The sequence below is a fragment of the Homo sapiens genome, chromosome 9, assembly GCF_000001405.40.
Source record: "Homo sapiens chromosome 9, GRCh38.p14 Primary Assembly".
Lineage (NCBI taxonomy): Eukaryota > Metazoa > Chordata > Mammalia > Primates > Hominidae > Homo > Homo sapiens.
Window position 1 is genome coordinate 127,090,673 of NC_000009.12, and position 17,200 is coordinate 127,107,872.

A 17,200-nucleotide genomic window follows, 5' to 3' on the forward strand; every position below is an offset into this window, starting at 1 on the left:
GGGAGTAGCCTTCTGACCAAGACCACATAGGAAATGGAGGCAGGAGGGGACTGGGTTTGCCCTTGAGAGCAGACAGCCTGAGCCTGGAGGCAGCATCGGCCGTCAGGTGGTGCCAGCCTCAGGGAGGAGCATGGCAGACTGAGAGGCCTTCATCTCAAGAAACTGGGTGTTGGCCCTGGGGAGGCATTAACTGTGTGGGAGGCTGATATCTGGACTCAGGGCCAGACCATATCTCTGTTTCTTCTGATTTTCTGTTTTTTTCTCTTGTTTTTTGTTTAATAAAGACTTCTTAGTAAAGACCTAGATTTGAAGCATGTGATCTTAGACAAATCACTTTCTCTCTCCTATCTGCTTTCCTCTTAATAGCTTCCTCTCAGCACTGCACTAGCATTACATGCAGTAACAGTGACCATGAAGAAAGCCAGTTTGTATGGAGCCCTCGCTATGTGCCAAATCCTAGACAAAGCACTTTAGGTACATTCTCTCTACCCTTCTCCCTACTCTGCAATGTAGTTCTTGTCCTTACTTCCAGATGCAGAAACTGAGACCCACGGAGATTTAGCAGTATGCCCAAGGACACATGGCTGGTAGGAGGTGGGGCCAGCACTGGAGCCCAGGTGTGTGGCCCAGAGCCTACGCAGTTGGTTAGCTCTATACCAGGTGCCTGGGACAGAAGTGGTGAGGCCACAGCCCAACACATGTCTTTCTGCATTGGCCCCAGCTGGCCCTGGTACGTGTGATTTGTATACCTCTTTATGTCTCGCCCCATCCCATTTTTTTTTTCTTAATTTGTAAATGCCACTGTGACCCAGCTTTGTGAAGGGGACCTGTGGGCAGGAGAAGGGACCCTCAGGGGGTGGTAACAGGGTCAGGCAGCTTGGCCCAGCTGCTTCTCACCCTGGGATCTTCCCGTTTCCAAGCCCTGGAGTCAGGGGCTCTGGCTCTGGTTGACCTCTTTTCCCTACCCTGCACCTGGGTTTGACTCCACTTTTCCTACCTGTGTAGACATCATGATCTCTGTCCAGGGTGGTGAACTGCTTGCCGTTGTGCCATGTAAAGGAGTCACCCGCATTGCCATGGTAGCGCCCCAGCCGCAGCTTATAATACTCGCTCTCAGGTTCCAGGCGGAAACTGGCGTATTCTGCAAAGACTTTGCGGCCGGACCAGTCCTCCATGGTCACCAGGAGTTTGTAGTTGCCTTGGTTCGTCAGCCAGTAAATGTTCTCCAGGCCCAGCCAGTATTCGCCGTCAATGTTCCCAAACCCTTGCTGGGGAAAACCCAGGAGAGTGTTAATGTGGAGCCTGCAGCACCTGCAGCCAGCAGGCTTGGCTGTCAGACACTCAGCCCTGGATAGAGGGGCCTGGGAAACAAGCAGAGCATGAAGCAGACCTGGTTCAGACCCCTACTCCACCTCTTAATCTCTCCATGACTCACACATTATTCAAAAATATGTAGAGTGCCTACCCTGTGCCAGGCATCATGTGAACCCCAGATTCCTTGTTCTTACATCAGGGAGGCTATATTACCTTCCCCACAGGCTTGCTGCAGGAACACGTGTGCTGTGGCAGGTGGAGGGCCTGGCACTAAGTAGGCACGCAGCAGGCATTCCTCAGACAAATCTCTGACCTTCACTGAGCTTCACCTCCTTCTCTGGAGATGAGCTGTGTGTGAGGGTCACGTGTAAGCTGTAACGCACCAGACGGGTGTGAGCTGTGACGCATGTGTCCCATCCACCGGCGCTCCCCTCTAGGTCTAAAACCCAGTGGTTTTGTGGTTATTGTTTTTTTTTGCATGTGGTTTTGGGGTCAGCAGCTGAGTTACGGCCACTAAAGTCTTGGGAATCGGTGATTCATTAATACAATAATTATTTAGTATTGAGCGCTTGTGATGTGCTGGCACTGTTTTAAGAACTTTACATAGGTTGTTTTACTAATCCTCATGTCAACTCGAAGAACTAAGTGCTATCATTATCCTCCCTAGTATGGATGAACTGAGGCCCAGAGAGGCTCAGGGTCTCAGAATGCCTGAGGGTGAACCAGGATTTGAACCAAGAACCCAGTCTTAATCATTGCACTGTATTGCCTCTAAGAAAGGAGGAGTCTCCCGCTCCTAATGTAGGTGGAAGAGGAGAAAAAAGCAGAGACACAGGCTGTTCAGGAGGTGGGGTGGGGGACAACCAGGACAGGAGACTCAAGAAGGGGCATGGCAGAGCCATGTGTGCAAGGCATCATGGCTTCAGGTAGTTTGTGAGCTTCAGTGTCAGAGGCCTCAGCTGCAGTCACTACTGGGCCAATTCCTGGCTTTGCAACCCTGAGCAAATTACTCCACACTTTCATCTGTAAGCTGGGTCCATAACAGAACCTCCCTCAGGAGGTTGATACGAGATTAAACAAAATAATGCACGAAAGCCCTTAGCATGGTGCTGGCACGGGTTGGGCACTCAGCAAACAGAGCCACTCTTGCCTTCCTTAGTACTACCTCTGTTTAGAGGGGGAAGAACGATGTATGACTGAGTCCTGGCAACTTTCCCTGCTACACAGATGAGCATTTCAACTCCCTGGGAACCAGGGAGCCCAGAGGATGAGCCTGGAATTAGGACTTGAGCATTGCCACAACTCCCTACCAGGACTTTTTGGGGGATTCTCCCAGGAACTGGGAGCCTCTTGGGACTTGCGCCTTCTGGGCTTTGAGAGCGGGTCTTTCCCCATGGAAACCCCACTTGGGAGTGAAATGCTCCTCACCCCTGGGCCCCCATACCAGCGTTTCTAAACTCTCACCCTGTCCTGTGGGGCTGTGGTGGTCTGGTCTACTGACTCTTGTCCTGCAGCAGTTTCTAGCAGCAGGCAGAGGAGGCGCTGGTCCTCACTACCCCTGGTGGGTTTGCAAAATGGCCCTGTCTGCATCCTTCTCGCCTCAGGTATATGTGTTGTTGGGGCCGCACAGGCCTGGGCTTGGTCAGCATGTACCTCTGAGTGGGCTCTTCTATTGGTTGCTCAGGCCTCTCTTGGGGTGGGCCAGTCACCTTGTGGGCAGCACAGACATCCCCTGCCGAGTCTCACCTTGTACGTCTCCCAGTTCCTGAAGAAGTTAACAGAGCCATCCAGGCGTCTCTGGATGACGGTCCAGCCCCCGGGGTCGTGTCTCTGGTCGCACCACACCTGCATGAGGCGGTTGGTGTTCTCCGGCTTCACCAGGTAGATGGAGCTGGTGTCGTGGCCATCCTCCAGGGCCTGCAGGCAGTCTCTCCATGGGCCTGGGGACACAGACATGCATATACATCACAGACCTGCCTGTCACCAGGCCGCACCCCCAGCTGCACCCCAAGCAGGCACAACCTCTGTTGAGGCTCCAGCTGGGAGCCACAGGCCCACGGTCTGAGGTAACCAATTTTTGTTTTGCGAGTTTAATAAGTAATTATAAAGACAAGAGCCTCGGACCAGGGGTCAGGATGCCCATACTCCAAGCTCACTTTCTCCTCTCACCCGCCTCACAGTTTGACTTTTGGCAGACTTCTTCATTCTCCCAGCCCCCAGTTTCTTCTGATTGTAGAAGGAAGATCAGATTTCCCTCATATAGTGTTGTCAGGATTACTGAGATCATTTGGGGGAAGTTGCTGGAGTGATCTTTTTCGTGTTCATTATATTAGGAAAAAGAGATGTGGACCTACTAAACGTGGCAACATCAGTCAGTGCCTGCAGGCTCTGATGGCTTTGCTTCTGCAAGGAAACTCAGTTCCACTGGATTACTGTTTCTGGGGGCCAAGTACAGTTGGCACCCTTCAATTCTGACTCCACGTCTGCCCTTCCAGTGACAGTGCTTCGTGATGACTGCTGCAGCTTTTACTAAATGAACTTCCACAGTCACAGGGGCCTAGGCCATGCCCAGAATTTGGCCATGTAGCCAGAGACTTTGGGATATTTCTGCAATTCATTCACTGCTCTTCAAGTGTGTTTTTAGGGGGCCAGGTTCCCTTTCAGCTGAATCTGTGTGTTTTCCAAAGGAAGCTCAGTGAGGGCCAGATGCTTGGCACTCACGCATTCTGAGGTCCTCCTTGCAGGCTCATAAACTTAAAGGATGATGTCCAGGATACAGCCCAATCCATGGCTCTCTTCTGAAACTGAGACCAGAGGGTTCTGTGATTCTTTGTGACTGCACTGAGCTTGGGCAGCCCAGTCAGAAGGAATGGGTGTTATACCACTGGTCTTTTAGCCCTCCCCACCCCTGCCCATCAACTCTGCCCTCCCCAGGCAGTTTCTTATGTTCCATTGTTGGTCACATCAGCAAGAAGGTACAAACTTGAGTCACCAAGGGTCTGGACAGGCTGGGGCCTTTCTCATTGATCTGAGGAAGCTTTAGAAGGTCAAGGCCTAGCCATTCAGATGAAAATGGCTGAAAGAAAGAAAATCACATTTTGCTTCAGTCTCTTCAAAATATTCCTCATAGGGCCGGGCACGGTGGCTCACGCCTGTAATCCCAGCACTTTGGGAGGCTGAGGCAGGCAGATCACAAAGTCAGGAGATCGAGACCATCCTGGCTAACATGGTGAAACCCTGTCTCTACTAAAAATACAAAAAATTAGCCGTGTGTGGTGGCACGCACCTGTGATCCCAGCTACCCGGGAGGGTGAGGCAGGAGAATCCCTTGAATCCAGGAGGTGGAGGTTGCAGTGAGCTGAGATGGCCCCACTGCACTCCAGCCTGAGTGGCAGAGCAAGACAAGACTCCGTCTCAAAAAAATAAATAAATAAAAATCCCCACAATGAGACTGGTTAAGGACAAAAGTGCTAAGAAAGTACCATTGTATGTTTTCTATCAATTTGTATGTTTATTCAACAACTGTGTATTGAGTCCCAGCCTCTGCAGATGCGGTGCTGGGCAGCGGAAGCTCAGGGCAGGGTGGGGCCGCTCTGACGCCCTGCAAGGGAGGAGCTGACCTCACTACCTCCTCCCCACTTGAATTCCTGTAGACTCCTGTCCTTTCTCTTTCTGTGTGAGTTGAAGGGAGGTGCCCATCAGTGACAGGTATACTCAGCTTTTCTGGTACAGGTCACACTTCTCAGATTCCTTCCTGGCTGGTGTTTGGGCTCAACTAGTTCACACGTAATAGTTATAAACCAGAAAGATTTAGGTTTCTGGTCTCTGTTAGACATCTCAGGTGGGCTGTTCCTGAGGAAGAAGCCTTGTGTTTGAGCATTCATCCACCTAGAACCTGACGGGAAGGCAGGGGCTGTCTTGCTCATTCCTTGCTTCCCACTGCCCAGTATTGCCCCGATAAGAAAGATTGGTTTGGGTGCTGACACTTAACTCAGGGGCTTCTCCCTTCATCTTCTGGGGAGGAAGGATCTTCTCACCCATTTACCTTTTTGCCAGGCCTCTTCTCTAAGGGATGGGGCAGGACCCAATGCTCCCCACCCCAGGGTAGCAGATGGGGCACAAGCAGCTGCTTCCTTTGCCAGTGCCACTTCCTGCCTTTCCCCCACCACTCCCTCAGTATCCTTCCCAGGGAAGGGGAGGCTAGACCTCCAGAAAGAGCATTTGTGAAGGAGAAAAAGGTTTTGGTTGTGTTTAGCTGAAGCCCCAGGGATGGAGGCAGAGAATGGGAGTCTGTCCCCAACAGCTGGAGCAGAGCGCCGGTGGGCGTGGGAGGCCTCCCAGCTCCTTACCAAGTCAGCAGCACAGGAGAGGCCGTTCGATGTGAATGCTGGTGACGGAAGATCCGGCAGAAGCCTGCAAAATAACGCCCACTGAGAGCGAGCAGCCCAGCCTCTTACTGCACAGCTGCCAGGACTGCTGCAGAATTGTCAGAGGTAAAGGCTGCCTTTGAAGGAGGCGCCACGTAGGGAGAGGCTGTGGAGGCTGCTGGGAGAGTGGCAGTTGGCCTCGTGGCTCCAGCTGGGGCTGCCTTTGTGGGCGCCATGAATGATCTCAGTTTTACCTTTGGCATTTCCACCAAGGGCTCTTTTTAAAGGCAAGTGTTTTTAAATGTTTTGGGGCTACTAGTCCCTTTAAGAATTTGGGGATGGTTCTAGATCCTTTATTCAGAAAAATGCACAGACTCACACAATTCTGTATACAGTTTCAGAAGGTAATGGATTCCCAAAGTCCCAGGTTATAAACTCCTTGCTCTAAGAGTAGTGACTGAAGTAGTAATAATAATAGCCAGTGTGTACTGAGCATTTCCTATGGTCCTAGCCACGTATTTCCACAGGTGACCCTCCTGACACTCCTGTGAGGTAGGAAAGCAGACCCTGTGGTCATTAGAGGAGCCCCTCAAGGTTACCTGGTGGGTAAAGGACACAGCAGGTGTATGCACCCAGGGGGTGTGCAGAGCTCACACACTACTTCTTTTCCCCCAACCAGAACGAACTCAAGAATGAGGGATCCATGCTGACTTAGCTCTGTGTCCTTAGAACTAATGTTAATCTTTGCCAGTCAGCCAGCGAAAAAAATAAAACATAAAAATTTACAGTTCTTTGTCGAGGTGTAAAACTTTTAAAAATCTTTAATGATTTTTTTCTTCCGTATTTACCTTTTGGTGTTCTTTGCCCATTTTTCAACGATTGTAGTGTCTGTTATGATGTAGAAGAAGTTTTTCTTTTTTTAAAAAAGGCAAACGGGGTAATTCTTTTAAGGCTTTCTAGAATAATCGAGTAGGTATCAAATTGTGTAGAAATGTTTAGTATTTTCTGCTGTTACAAAAAATGTGCATATGTGTCTGTACACGGAATTTCACATGACAATCAGGCCCCATTAGCTTCCATCAAAAACACAAATTCAAACACAATTTCCCTTAGAACCCTTAGTAGACCTCTGTGAAATCTCCTGCATTCAAACACATTTCCTTTTCACACATTAAAGGCACCAGTGGCAAAGGTCAGAAACATCACTGATGGATGAAAATTAGTCAGAAAAAGAGTTAACATTGAAAAATTGTCAGCAGTAAAATTATGTGGCTCCTTTAAAATAGCAGAGACAAAACATCCTACTTTGATGAGAAATCCACAACTGTAACATATAAATAATACTGTGAAAAATCTATAGCTGTTCCATATAAATAATGCCCTCGTAGGGGGCCAGGCAAGGGTCTGGCCTCGATGGAGGAAGACCTGGCTGAGGAAGCGAGGGCTGGAGGGAGACTCCACACTTGGAGTCAGGAGCCCTTGGCTCCAATCTCGATGGCCTCACCTATGCACAGTGTGACTTTGGGCAGTGTCCTCATTGAGCCTCAATTTCTTCTTCTGTGAAATGGGAAGAGACCATAGCTATTCTGAGGATGTCATGAACCCAAGAGCGGCCAGCATGGGAGCCAGCTGGGGCAGGTGCTCTGTGAAGATTATCCCTTTCTGTTTCCTTTGATAGATGAAAGCTGACATTTTTGAAGTTGTTCACCCCCCCAACTAATTCCTCCTCCACACACGTTACTATATTTGCTTTTCAATACAAGACTAAATGTAAGATATTTACCAGTAGATGTTTTCCATGTATTTTTAAGTCAGAATTTCAGTGGAGAAGGCCACAAAGATATATTGACATGAAGAATGGAAATCTTTTTTGTCAATGAAACTGAGTTTTCAACGTGCAGTGGGCAAAGCGCTCCCTTTGGACCAGTGCAGAGTACCTAGCGGTGTTTAACTTGGCGCCCCTTCTGAGAGGGCAGCTCTGCCCAGAGCATCAGGCCAACACTAACTCGGCAGCACCTGGGCTCAGAGTGGAGCGAGTGCTGCGACCTCATCTCTATAAAGACCACATTTACATTCTTGGGGGAGCTGTGGCCAAATGTTCCACGTGAAGAGAAATGCAGCCCCGTGGCTGAGCCGAGTCTGTGTGGTTCCCTGAAGAAGCAACAAGGATGGGTAGGCACACAGGGTCTGGGGTCAGGAGGCCTCCAGAGGAGGGACATCAGCAAGTAGGGGAGTACCAAGTACACAGGTCTCAGCCCGGACCCCACTGCCATACCCTGGTAAGTGTTGGAGGTGATCAGCTTTGGGTGCTTCCTTCCTCCTCTCTGGGGTTCTTGACAGGGATTAGGCACACAAGGACCATGGCCTCCCAGGAAACCAGGACCCACTTGATTGATGGCTGATACAGTGCTTGCTACTCCCAACACAGGGCCTTTCTGGTCAAGCTGAGTTAGAACCGGCACCTAGGCCAGGCAAGCATAACTTCCTATTTCCAGTTCTCTCTCTGTGGGTCTGGGGCAGACCAGCATCAGCCTGATTTACCCGTCCAGGCCCTAGTGGAGAAATGGGCTCACAAACTGCATCAGCTCTCAGTGCAGTGCCCCTCTTACTAGGAAAACATGGCTCCGTGAATATCTGACCTTGAGGCTGGGAGCTAAGCAGTGAGGCCTCCGTGGGCAAGAGGGATGCCTCTTCTCTCTGACGTGCCTGAGGTGTGGGGGGAGGAGCAGAGTCCTTCCTGCCCACAGCGGGACTGGACCCCATGGCTGGCCAGCAGCCTGACAGTCCTTTTTATCCCCTGAGTCCAGCCCCAGGTGTCAGAATTTGACCACCTTAGGCCACTCAGAGGACCCTGTGGCCTGTGGGAAATGTTCTGGGGGGCTCTTGGTTCTGGGAAGTTGCTCCTGTGAATATTTTAGTCCATACGCAGGCACTAGGGAGAGGCTTCTGTGATATCACTAAGATGCAGTCTGCTTTTCATGAGAACTGTATGCTGTTTTCAGTTACTCTCACTGATGGTCTGTCTCCAAAAAGTCTTCTTACCACTCCCTGAAACATTTTTCTAACAGGAGAAATGACTAACTGTTGAAATTGGATCTGCAATTTCCTACCCAAATTAATGCATCTGAGTGCCACGGCACGTGGCCTGCTTAGGTGAGAGTCCCACCCAGGCCAGCATCAGGACTCACTGGGCACCCCATGAGGGCAGGAGAACAGACACACAGGGTCGGGGGATGGGGTGTGAGGGGTGGCTACAGTGAGAAGCAGTTATTGGGGGTCTTCGAATCTCATTTATCCAGAGGCTTGGCAAAATAAGATTCTGGTTATGGATGTATATATATTCTATGTCAATCACTGCTTTTCAGCGAACCAGAGTACAAAACAATAACCTAAACACAGGAATAGCTTGTATGGTCCCAAAGGCATTTCAGTTCCTGCAGAACCTCAGAGTTGATATCACACATGTCATTTCTGATCATTCCAGGGAAAAGGTCCAAATGCTTGTGCCTGCTTTCAGGCCGCTTTAGCCCTCAAACGATGGGCATGGTGCCTGGGGCCAATGAGTGTTTCAGGAGTTGATGAAAATGTTTGAGGCCTAAAAAGACTTACTGGCTCTAAAATATGAAAAGAAAACTGCAAAATCAAAATTTATTGTATGTAATTAAATTACTACAAAGTGTGACATCTTGTCAAGTTCATTAATTGTTAAATTTTGTCTTCATGAAAATGTTACTACTTTTGAAAACAACTTGTAGGTTAGATTTTTTTCACTTCCCAAGAATTCCTGAATATGCTTGATGTTTACTGAGAAATGAGATCCAACCATAAATTAATTGAGTTACTCTTAGCCAAATAATTTTAAAAGCAAAAGTATTAAATCCTTTCAAAATTGTTCCAGTAAAAATTCTATTAAATGTGTGAGGTAGGTCATTTCAATGCATGTGATACAGCCTGAGGCCTCTCAAGTAAGAGCTCTTAGGGCCCAGAAAGGGCTTATAAAGGTCCTGTTTCTGCTCATTTGACCTCGGGAGAAACAGACATTGCAGCACTACTTTCCAGAGGCCACTGTCCAAAGCATTGCGTCGCTCTTAGGTTTCCACCAGCGCTGTTGGGCAGGAGGAGAAACAGGGGCTTTAAAGACATTTTAAAAAAGAGTTTAGAAGGGGCTTTAGTGGTCTCACTGTGTACAGAGGTGAGCAGCTCACCTTGGCTCCCTGGGGGCAGTGGCCAGTTGTACCCAAGGCTTCCTGGGTGAGGGAGGTCTCTGATGTAGAGGTGGGCAGTGCCCCAGGGTTCCACAGGCACACTAATGAGAGTGGCCATGGCTCTGTCAGAGACTGTGGTGCTGTCCTGCAGGCACATCATGGAAGAACTTATCAGACCCATGACTACAATCCACAGATATGGACAGGTAGCAGTCCCATAGTTGGCGAGTGTATTAACCCTTTCCAAGGAAGGGATCAGCTTCATTGGTTTCTTCTTTAAGAACCTATGTCGGCTTTCATTGGTGACCTTTTAATCTTCCAAATGCTCACGAACCCTTTGTGTACTCTTTTCTATAATTTTACTGGGGCTTCACCACAAGCCAGTTGTATGTGATTTCTGGTATGCATTCTTTTTCTGAAAGCAGGACATTTGTCTGGCACCAAGACTTGTCTTCATGATTTCTTGACTATCACTGGTGGTGGTTCTGAGAGCACCACAAGGCCCTTACCTTCCTCATCACCTCCTTCAGGAAGCTTTCCCCAACCCCAGGAAAGCTACTTTATCCTTTTCAGTGTTCCCAAAATGCTTTGTATATTTATCTCTACTGGAATAAGGTAAGAATGGTGATGATCATGTATCTAGAGCCTTTCACCTGCCATGTGCTTTGCACACCGTTTCATTTCATCCTCATAAGCCCCTGCACCTGTGAGAAAGCCAGGGCTCAAGAGGATCACATGACTGGAAAGTGGAGGATCTGGGATTAGAACTCAGGTCCACCTTCTGTGCTGCAGTTATCACACCACATTAGGATTGTTGGGGATCTGTGTCCCCATAAGACTGTGGGCTCCTTTCAGGCAGGAACCCTTGCAGGCTCACTCCATGAGTCCCTCAATGCTCTGTGTGCCTCCCTCCATCCTTCAATCCTCTATCCTTGACCCTCCATCCTTCACCCTCCATCCTTCACCATCCTGAGCTGCATCCCCTTTGCTACCTTCATTCTGTGCTTTCCAGCTGAGAACCAATAATAATAAATCCATCTGGAAAGAGAGACCCCACAACAGATGATAATCCACATCCAGACCAAACCCTGGCAAAGGAAACCTGCTTTGTGGGAAAGCCTGGACAGTTTGTAGTGGTCTCTCTGCACATTATGTCTGGGATGGTGCCAGATGAGTGGATTTTTTGTTCATTTGGACCCTACTCTAGACATACCATCTAAGATACTTAATTTCAACATTTAGGAGCTGTTGCATTTATAACGTAAACAAATTGTCTTAGCAAGATTTTTCTCTGTGTGTATAGTAGTTTTGACTTACTGTATTCAAAAATATCAGGGAAAAGTAACTTATTTTTTTTTAAACAAAGGATCACATAAATACTCCAGGCCCTGTAGTTCCACAGGCTCATCTTGAGATATAAGATGAGGACCATCAGGCTTATTTTCAGCATAATCTTTGACCAGATTCATGCCAGGGAGAGCCGAAGTTGAGGCAGTGGTGATGCGGGGATAGTAGGAAAGATCATCTCCAGTGTTCCCATCAAGAGGTCTCTGCTGCCTGCATCCTTCACTGATGTGGGTATAAACCACTGGAAGTATATACTTCATTACTTTTACAAGACTGAACATAGTCCATTTTCTGCTGCTATAACAGAATAGCATAGACTGGGTAATTTATAAAGAAAGGAAGTTTATTTGGCTCACAGTTATGGAGGCTGAGAAGTCCAGGAGCATGGTGCCAGCATTTGTATGAGGCTAACTTAATACTACTTTATTTATTTTTTTTGTGGGGGTGGGGGTGGAGGGGGACAGCATCTCAGGATTAATACTATACAAGTTCACCACAACAATCCATTTGTATGACCAGTTAGCTGGCCACAGATGCCTGATCTCTAGGGTTTTCTAGATTTCTTTCAGTTTGCCAAGTACCAATCTTGGGATTTTCAGGCATCAAGATCCCAGATCTCAAGATTTTTTTAACAGTAACAAGTTGATAGTTTATCTCCTATGACTGTAAATACCCTGAGCATTTAGCCAAGTGTCATCTTTGGAAAACTGCCTGAGGAATGGAGGGGTAGCTTTCCATCACCCTCAAAAGGCTCTTTGTGATCAGTTCCCCAAGGTACCAGAAGAGGAGGAAGAGAAAGCAAAGCAATAAGGGAGCTGGCCCTCCTGGAACCATCATCCAGGTGGGCCATCTTCCTAGAGTAGATTTTGTTTAGGAAGAAGCTAGCAAAGAGTGCTCTTTGAGAAATCACTGGATTATGTAGTTTGTACTGAATTTGAAATCTTATTTTGTTTAACAAAACCTTTTAGAATAAAAGAAAGTATTGTACAGTGGAAACAGCACACGCTCTGGAGGCAGGAGACCTGTGTGGGCTTTTCCCTCAGCCTCTGTGACCTTGAAGGCTGACTCAGGATGGGCAGAGTCACCCTCACTCGCCACCATCACCACACACACCCTGTGCTTCTCCACCTCTCTGCAGTGCTTGGGCCTGGATGCCCAGCCTACTGAAGCTGACCCAGCCACACATGGGTTGACACCTTTTCACCTGGTTGCTTGCTTGACCTCCAGAAAGAATGGGAGCTACAACATCATATATTTCTCTGTTTTAAAACATACCATTGTGCTGGGGAACCACAATCGTGTACGTATTTCCTACCTTATAGGGTGGAATAAAATACAGGTGGAAAATCCATCTAGGAAAACACTCTTGTTCAAGTTGTCCATGCCATCCTGGCCATAGCCCAATAGCCCATCTGTTGTGAGATGGGGTGGCTTCCTGCTAGCACTCTTGTCAGTGAAGCAATGTGGGGACCTCCTCATGTGGTCCCAAGGGAAGGTCATGTCTACTGACATTTATACAGTCAGGGCTAACATTTAAAGAAATCAGAACTTCACACTTAGCTATATGTTGAAAGACTTAGCTATACATTGAAATGCTGAGTAGAAGGAACCCCAGAGGATATGTCCAGATTTGATAAAAATTAAAAATTAGACTTCAGTTGGGTCCATTTGCTGGGAGTCAGGTGCACGTTGTACTTTCTACTGGGGAGCTTGGCTGGTTCCTGCTAGGCCTAGGGAGGGGGAGCATGATGTTGGTGGGTTGGTAGCGACAGTGTTTTGTGTCATTGGAACCATGTTCTAATAACAAATCTACCACCTTTGTTCCCAGAGCTCATTTTAAGGAACTGTTTGGAACGTGGTACCAGGAAGTAGAGCTAGAAGGTCAGGAAGTAGAGATAGAAGGTCAGGTCCCTGTGGCAGCTGGGGCCAAATCAGACATTCACGGGGTGATTTTTACACCAGTTCCCCTCCAGCCTTCCCGTGGAAGTGTGCAATATCCAGAGTAGTTAAAACATACTTTGGTTTGAGCCTTGGCCAAGCCACTTACTAGCTGTGTACCCTTGGCTAAGTTACTTGACCTCTATGAACCTCAATATCCTGCAAGGTACAAGTCCCAGGGTCGATCTCTGCTCTGCCACCAACAGGCTCTGTTACAGGAAGGCCATGCTAGGGGATCTGAGAGGCCCCTAATAGTTCCAGTATTTCATGGTTTTATGGCCCCTTCTTCTTCACTCATTGAGAAATAAAGTGAACTGGTTGTATTCTCTTTCTCAGGAGAGAAAACAGCTAAAAGTGCTCACTCCTTTTGGTCTTTAAAGATTAGTTTCTGACAAAGCCCGTCTGTGGCAGCTGCTGTTGGCGCTGTCCTTTCCTCCCTGATCAGTCTCTGGGATGGGCACTGTGCAGGAGGGCTGGCAAATGTGTGGCTCTGCCTTGGGTGGCCTGAGAAACAGTACCAGGCCTCCCAGAACCCAGGTGCCTGCTCTATCCTTTGCCTCTTAGAGAATGACCCCTGGAGCCTTCCTCTTCTAATAGCAGCAGCAGGATAGGTGGGGCAGAGGACCACAGATAGGGCCATTTGGCCCAGGCCTCATCACAGAATCATCCTAATCAAAATGCCTTTGGGTCTGGCCAGACCTGAGAGACACAGGACAAAGCCCAGGTGAGGAGCCAGGGAAGCCAGGAGCTGCCTGTGCCTCCTCACTCAGGCTCTCAGTAGGCCATCCTGGCCTGGGACCACCCTGTTACTGTCTCAGTAAGGCTGGGAACAGGCTTGTGGTACAGCTTCAGATAAGCAGCCATGGCTCCCTTAGTCCCCTGGGGAAGGGCATGCTGTGGGCAGACGAAGAAAAGAGCACATGGCTCTGAGGCTGCTGAGTGAAAGGTTTGGAAGCTGCCAAGGCTCGGATGCAAAGGTGTTTAATTGCAAAGGTATTTCTGGCTAAGTGATGTCCCTAAGAACAAAGGATCTGTTGGGTAAGAGCACAGAAGAGTGTTTTGTCTTCCAGGATAAGAACCTGCCCCAAGCTCTCTGAACAGACCTGATAAGAATGTTCTCTGCTCATTGGATGCCCTGACTGTTCCGTGCAGAGAGACCATCTGTTTTTTCCTCCCAGTTTAGTCCTCAACACCAGGAGAGGGCAGGACCCTCCCCCAGCTGCTCTCTTCCTGGGCTCTGTCTACCCATTCATCTTCCACAGCTAGGCACTCAATCCCAGCTGGCAGCGCCTTGTGTGGGAGCTCAGTGGTGAGATGGGTCACAAGAAATCTACTGGTAATGAGCAAGTACCAACATTTGGGGATCCTTGCGTAACAAAGAAGGATAAATTCTAATGCATTCCAGTTATCTCTGTGATGAAATCACTGCCATTCCCTCCCATGACGGCGTGCTTTCTTAAGTGGGAGACAAAAGACGGGCGAGTGCAGGACACTTGGATACACACAGCCCACACTGGGTTGTGAACACAAAGAAGCAGGAGATTGAACCATTTGAGGTGCCAGGAATAGAACTGTGCCCCTGGGCCCTTGCACAGACTCATCTCCATCAGGGACCCACTAGTCACTTGGGTTCCCAACTCCCAGGTCTGCCTGGTAAAATCTTACAAATCCTTCAAGATGCAACAAAGAAGTGCCACGTCTATCTAATCTCTCCCTTCCCTCTAGGCAGAATTAGTCATGCCACCTTACTGTCCCCCAGGGCACTTAGCACACCAGGGTATCACCACAGTGATCAGACAGCCCAGTTTTCACTGCATTCCTGATTTTAGAAATTTTGGCCTCGACGGATACTCCCTCCCAGAGAAATCCATTGTCAGATCTGATGTGCTGATGTTAGGGACTAGAAATCATGGGCATTGGACGGATCCCAGATGCATTCATGCACCTGCCGTCTACCCCAGACTGAGTTTCTGGAGGTCAGGGACCACAATTGTCACCTACTTCCCCAAGTCTAGTGCTGCGACTAGCATGTAGTAGGGGCTCAGCAAATGTTGGCTTTACTACATGACATAATGTTTCATGCTTGATTGTATTGTATCCACAGCATAACACTGTGAGGTTATGACCCTTGTCCCCATTTTACAGAGGAGAAAATTGAGGCTCAGAAGAGTTAAATAACTATCTCATGAGCGAACAGCTAACCAAGGGGTAGAGCATGGATGCAAACCCAGGTCTTATTCCTATACTATGTATCTGCCAGCTTAGTTCAAGCCCAGGAATGTCCTGAAATGTTTTGAGTTAGAAACCAGAGACACTTAGGCCAGAGGAGATCTGTTGAGTAACCATTGAGTCCAGCCTGTCTCCAGTCAGGGTTATAACAACATTCAACTGAGCCTTTGTTTGGTGCCCAAGGGCACGTTTTACCCTCTCGGTATTCTATCAAGACAAATTAACACACCCTGCCCTCTCTTTCAGAGCTTCTGATTTAAAGCAGACACGTGTACAGATGGAACGCCAGAGCTAAAAAAGGGACTGTTTATTTCAGTCTCCTTGTTTTAAGATGAAAAGACCTAGATCAAAGGAGGCTTGTAGTTTACCGTGGACCCAGCATTGTGCTAAACATGTTTTTTGCAGTATTTCGTTTCCTAAAGTGACAGGCACTATTTTAATCTATCCTCAATTAACAGATGAGGAAACCGAGCCTCAGGGGGACAAAGTGACTTGCCTAATGTCCCAGAGCTAATCAGTGGTGGAAACCGGATTTAAATCCAAGCCAGCCTACTCCAAAGCGCCTGCTCTCAATCCTGCACCCAGGCCAGGTCTTTCCTTTGAGGTGCTGCAGTGGATGCTCACTTTGCATTTAGCTCACCTCACCCACCCCATCTGAAAACAATGCTGCCCTTGTCCTCTGCACTGGCCACCCTCCTGCACTCAGGTTCAGCCCCTCTTTGGAATTAGCAAGAAGCTGCTATTCCCAGTACTGGTGGTTATTTTTAAAAGTGTGAAATAAGTGTAAAGCAGGATATTTTCAGTAAAAATCTCTCCCTGCCTATACAATGAAATGGTACCGAAAGCACTGACTTGGAGTAGATACATGGTTCATTTATGCAGAGATGAATATAGTTCTCATATGGCAGCCCACTGGGAAGGCTCAGGTGTTCTGGATGAACAAGGGGCTGAGCTTCAGGGGACTGGATGTGTGCTGACATTCTGACAGGGGAGCCTCTGGCCTGCTTCTTCCAGAAATGATGATTCCTAGAGTCCTAGAGCATAGAGAAGTCAGCCAGAGATTTAAAGTGAAAAGACCTGAATGCAAATCTAGCCTGAACATCCTAAGCCTATTAGCAAGTTATTCATCCTGTCCGCAAGGAGCTCCAGGAGTTAATTATGTAACATACATGGAAATGTCCGGTGCCAGTATCTTGGTTAAGCTTTAAAACCTGCCAGCAATCCCATTCCTCCCCCATAACGGTATTCGGAGAATTGCTGTATTTTAAGATGAAACGTGTATGTAAGAGCATATGGAAGCATCATTGAAAATTCTAGACAGCAGCAGACTCTAGGAAGTGTGTGGGCTTTAGGAAGGACTCCTTCCCATGCCCAGCCCCTACAATGTGTTTATCATATTCTTAACATGGGTAATACTTTCTTTTCTTTTGGCCCATTGTTTATTTGGTGAACATTTACAGAAGGCCAACCCTGTGCCAGGCACAGTGCATGAGCTGCAGGAGAGACATTCTCTTCTATCTGCCAACACACGGGATCTCATGCAGAGCCTAGAAAACTACAGGCTCTGGGTTCTTTCCTGTCAGAAACCAGAGAGTGTTTGCCCTCTTCTGAAACTCCATTTTTTGGTAATATCTTTGAGGATCCATCTAAGGAATGTGGTTCCCCTGCCACCCGTCACCCTGCTGGCTCCAGCAGCTCAGCCCAAGGGATTGCTGGGGGATTGTGCATGTCTTTGGCCTGGCTTCAACTGGCCATGGCTTTTCCCCATTTGTGGACACAGCCAAGGGAAGCCTGGTGCCT

The 17,200-nt window shown here is 48.2% G+C and overlaps 2 protein-coding genes across 57 annotated transcripts in view; one reads left to right on the forward strand and one right to left on the reverse strand.

Annotated features, from left to right (window-relative positions):
* The window catches only part of RALGPS1 (Ral GEF with PH domain and SH3 binding motif 1), a 308,385-nt gene that overhangs the window by 175,891 nt on the left and 115,294 nt on the right, over positions 1-17,200 (forward strand). The gene's annotated exons all lie outside the window — the stretch shown is intronic.
* ANGPTL2 (angiopoietin like 2) overlaps positions 1-17,200 on the reverse strand; it is a 35,288-nt gene that overhangs the window by 3,325 nt on the left and 14,763 nt on the right. Inside the window, exons 3-4 of one of the 2 annotated variants that reach the window (NM_012098.3) lie at positions 3,061-3,254; positions 998-1,268 (exon numbers count right to left, since the gene is read on the reverse strand). In NM_012098.3, the coding sequence (NP_036230.1) occupies positions 998-1,268; positions 3,061-3,254 (465 nt within the window). Of the gene's footprint in view, positions 1-997; positions 1,269-3,060; positions 3,255-11,555; positions 16,435-17,200 lie in introns of those variants that run through there. The other variant, XM_006717030.5, reaches the window with a different exon arrangement.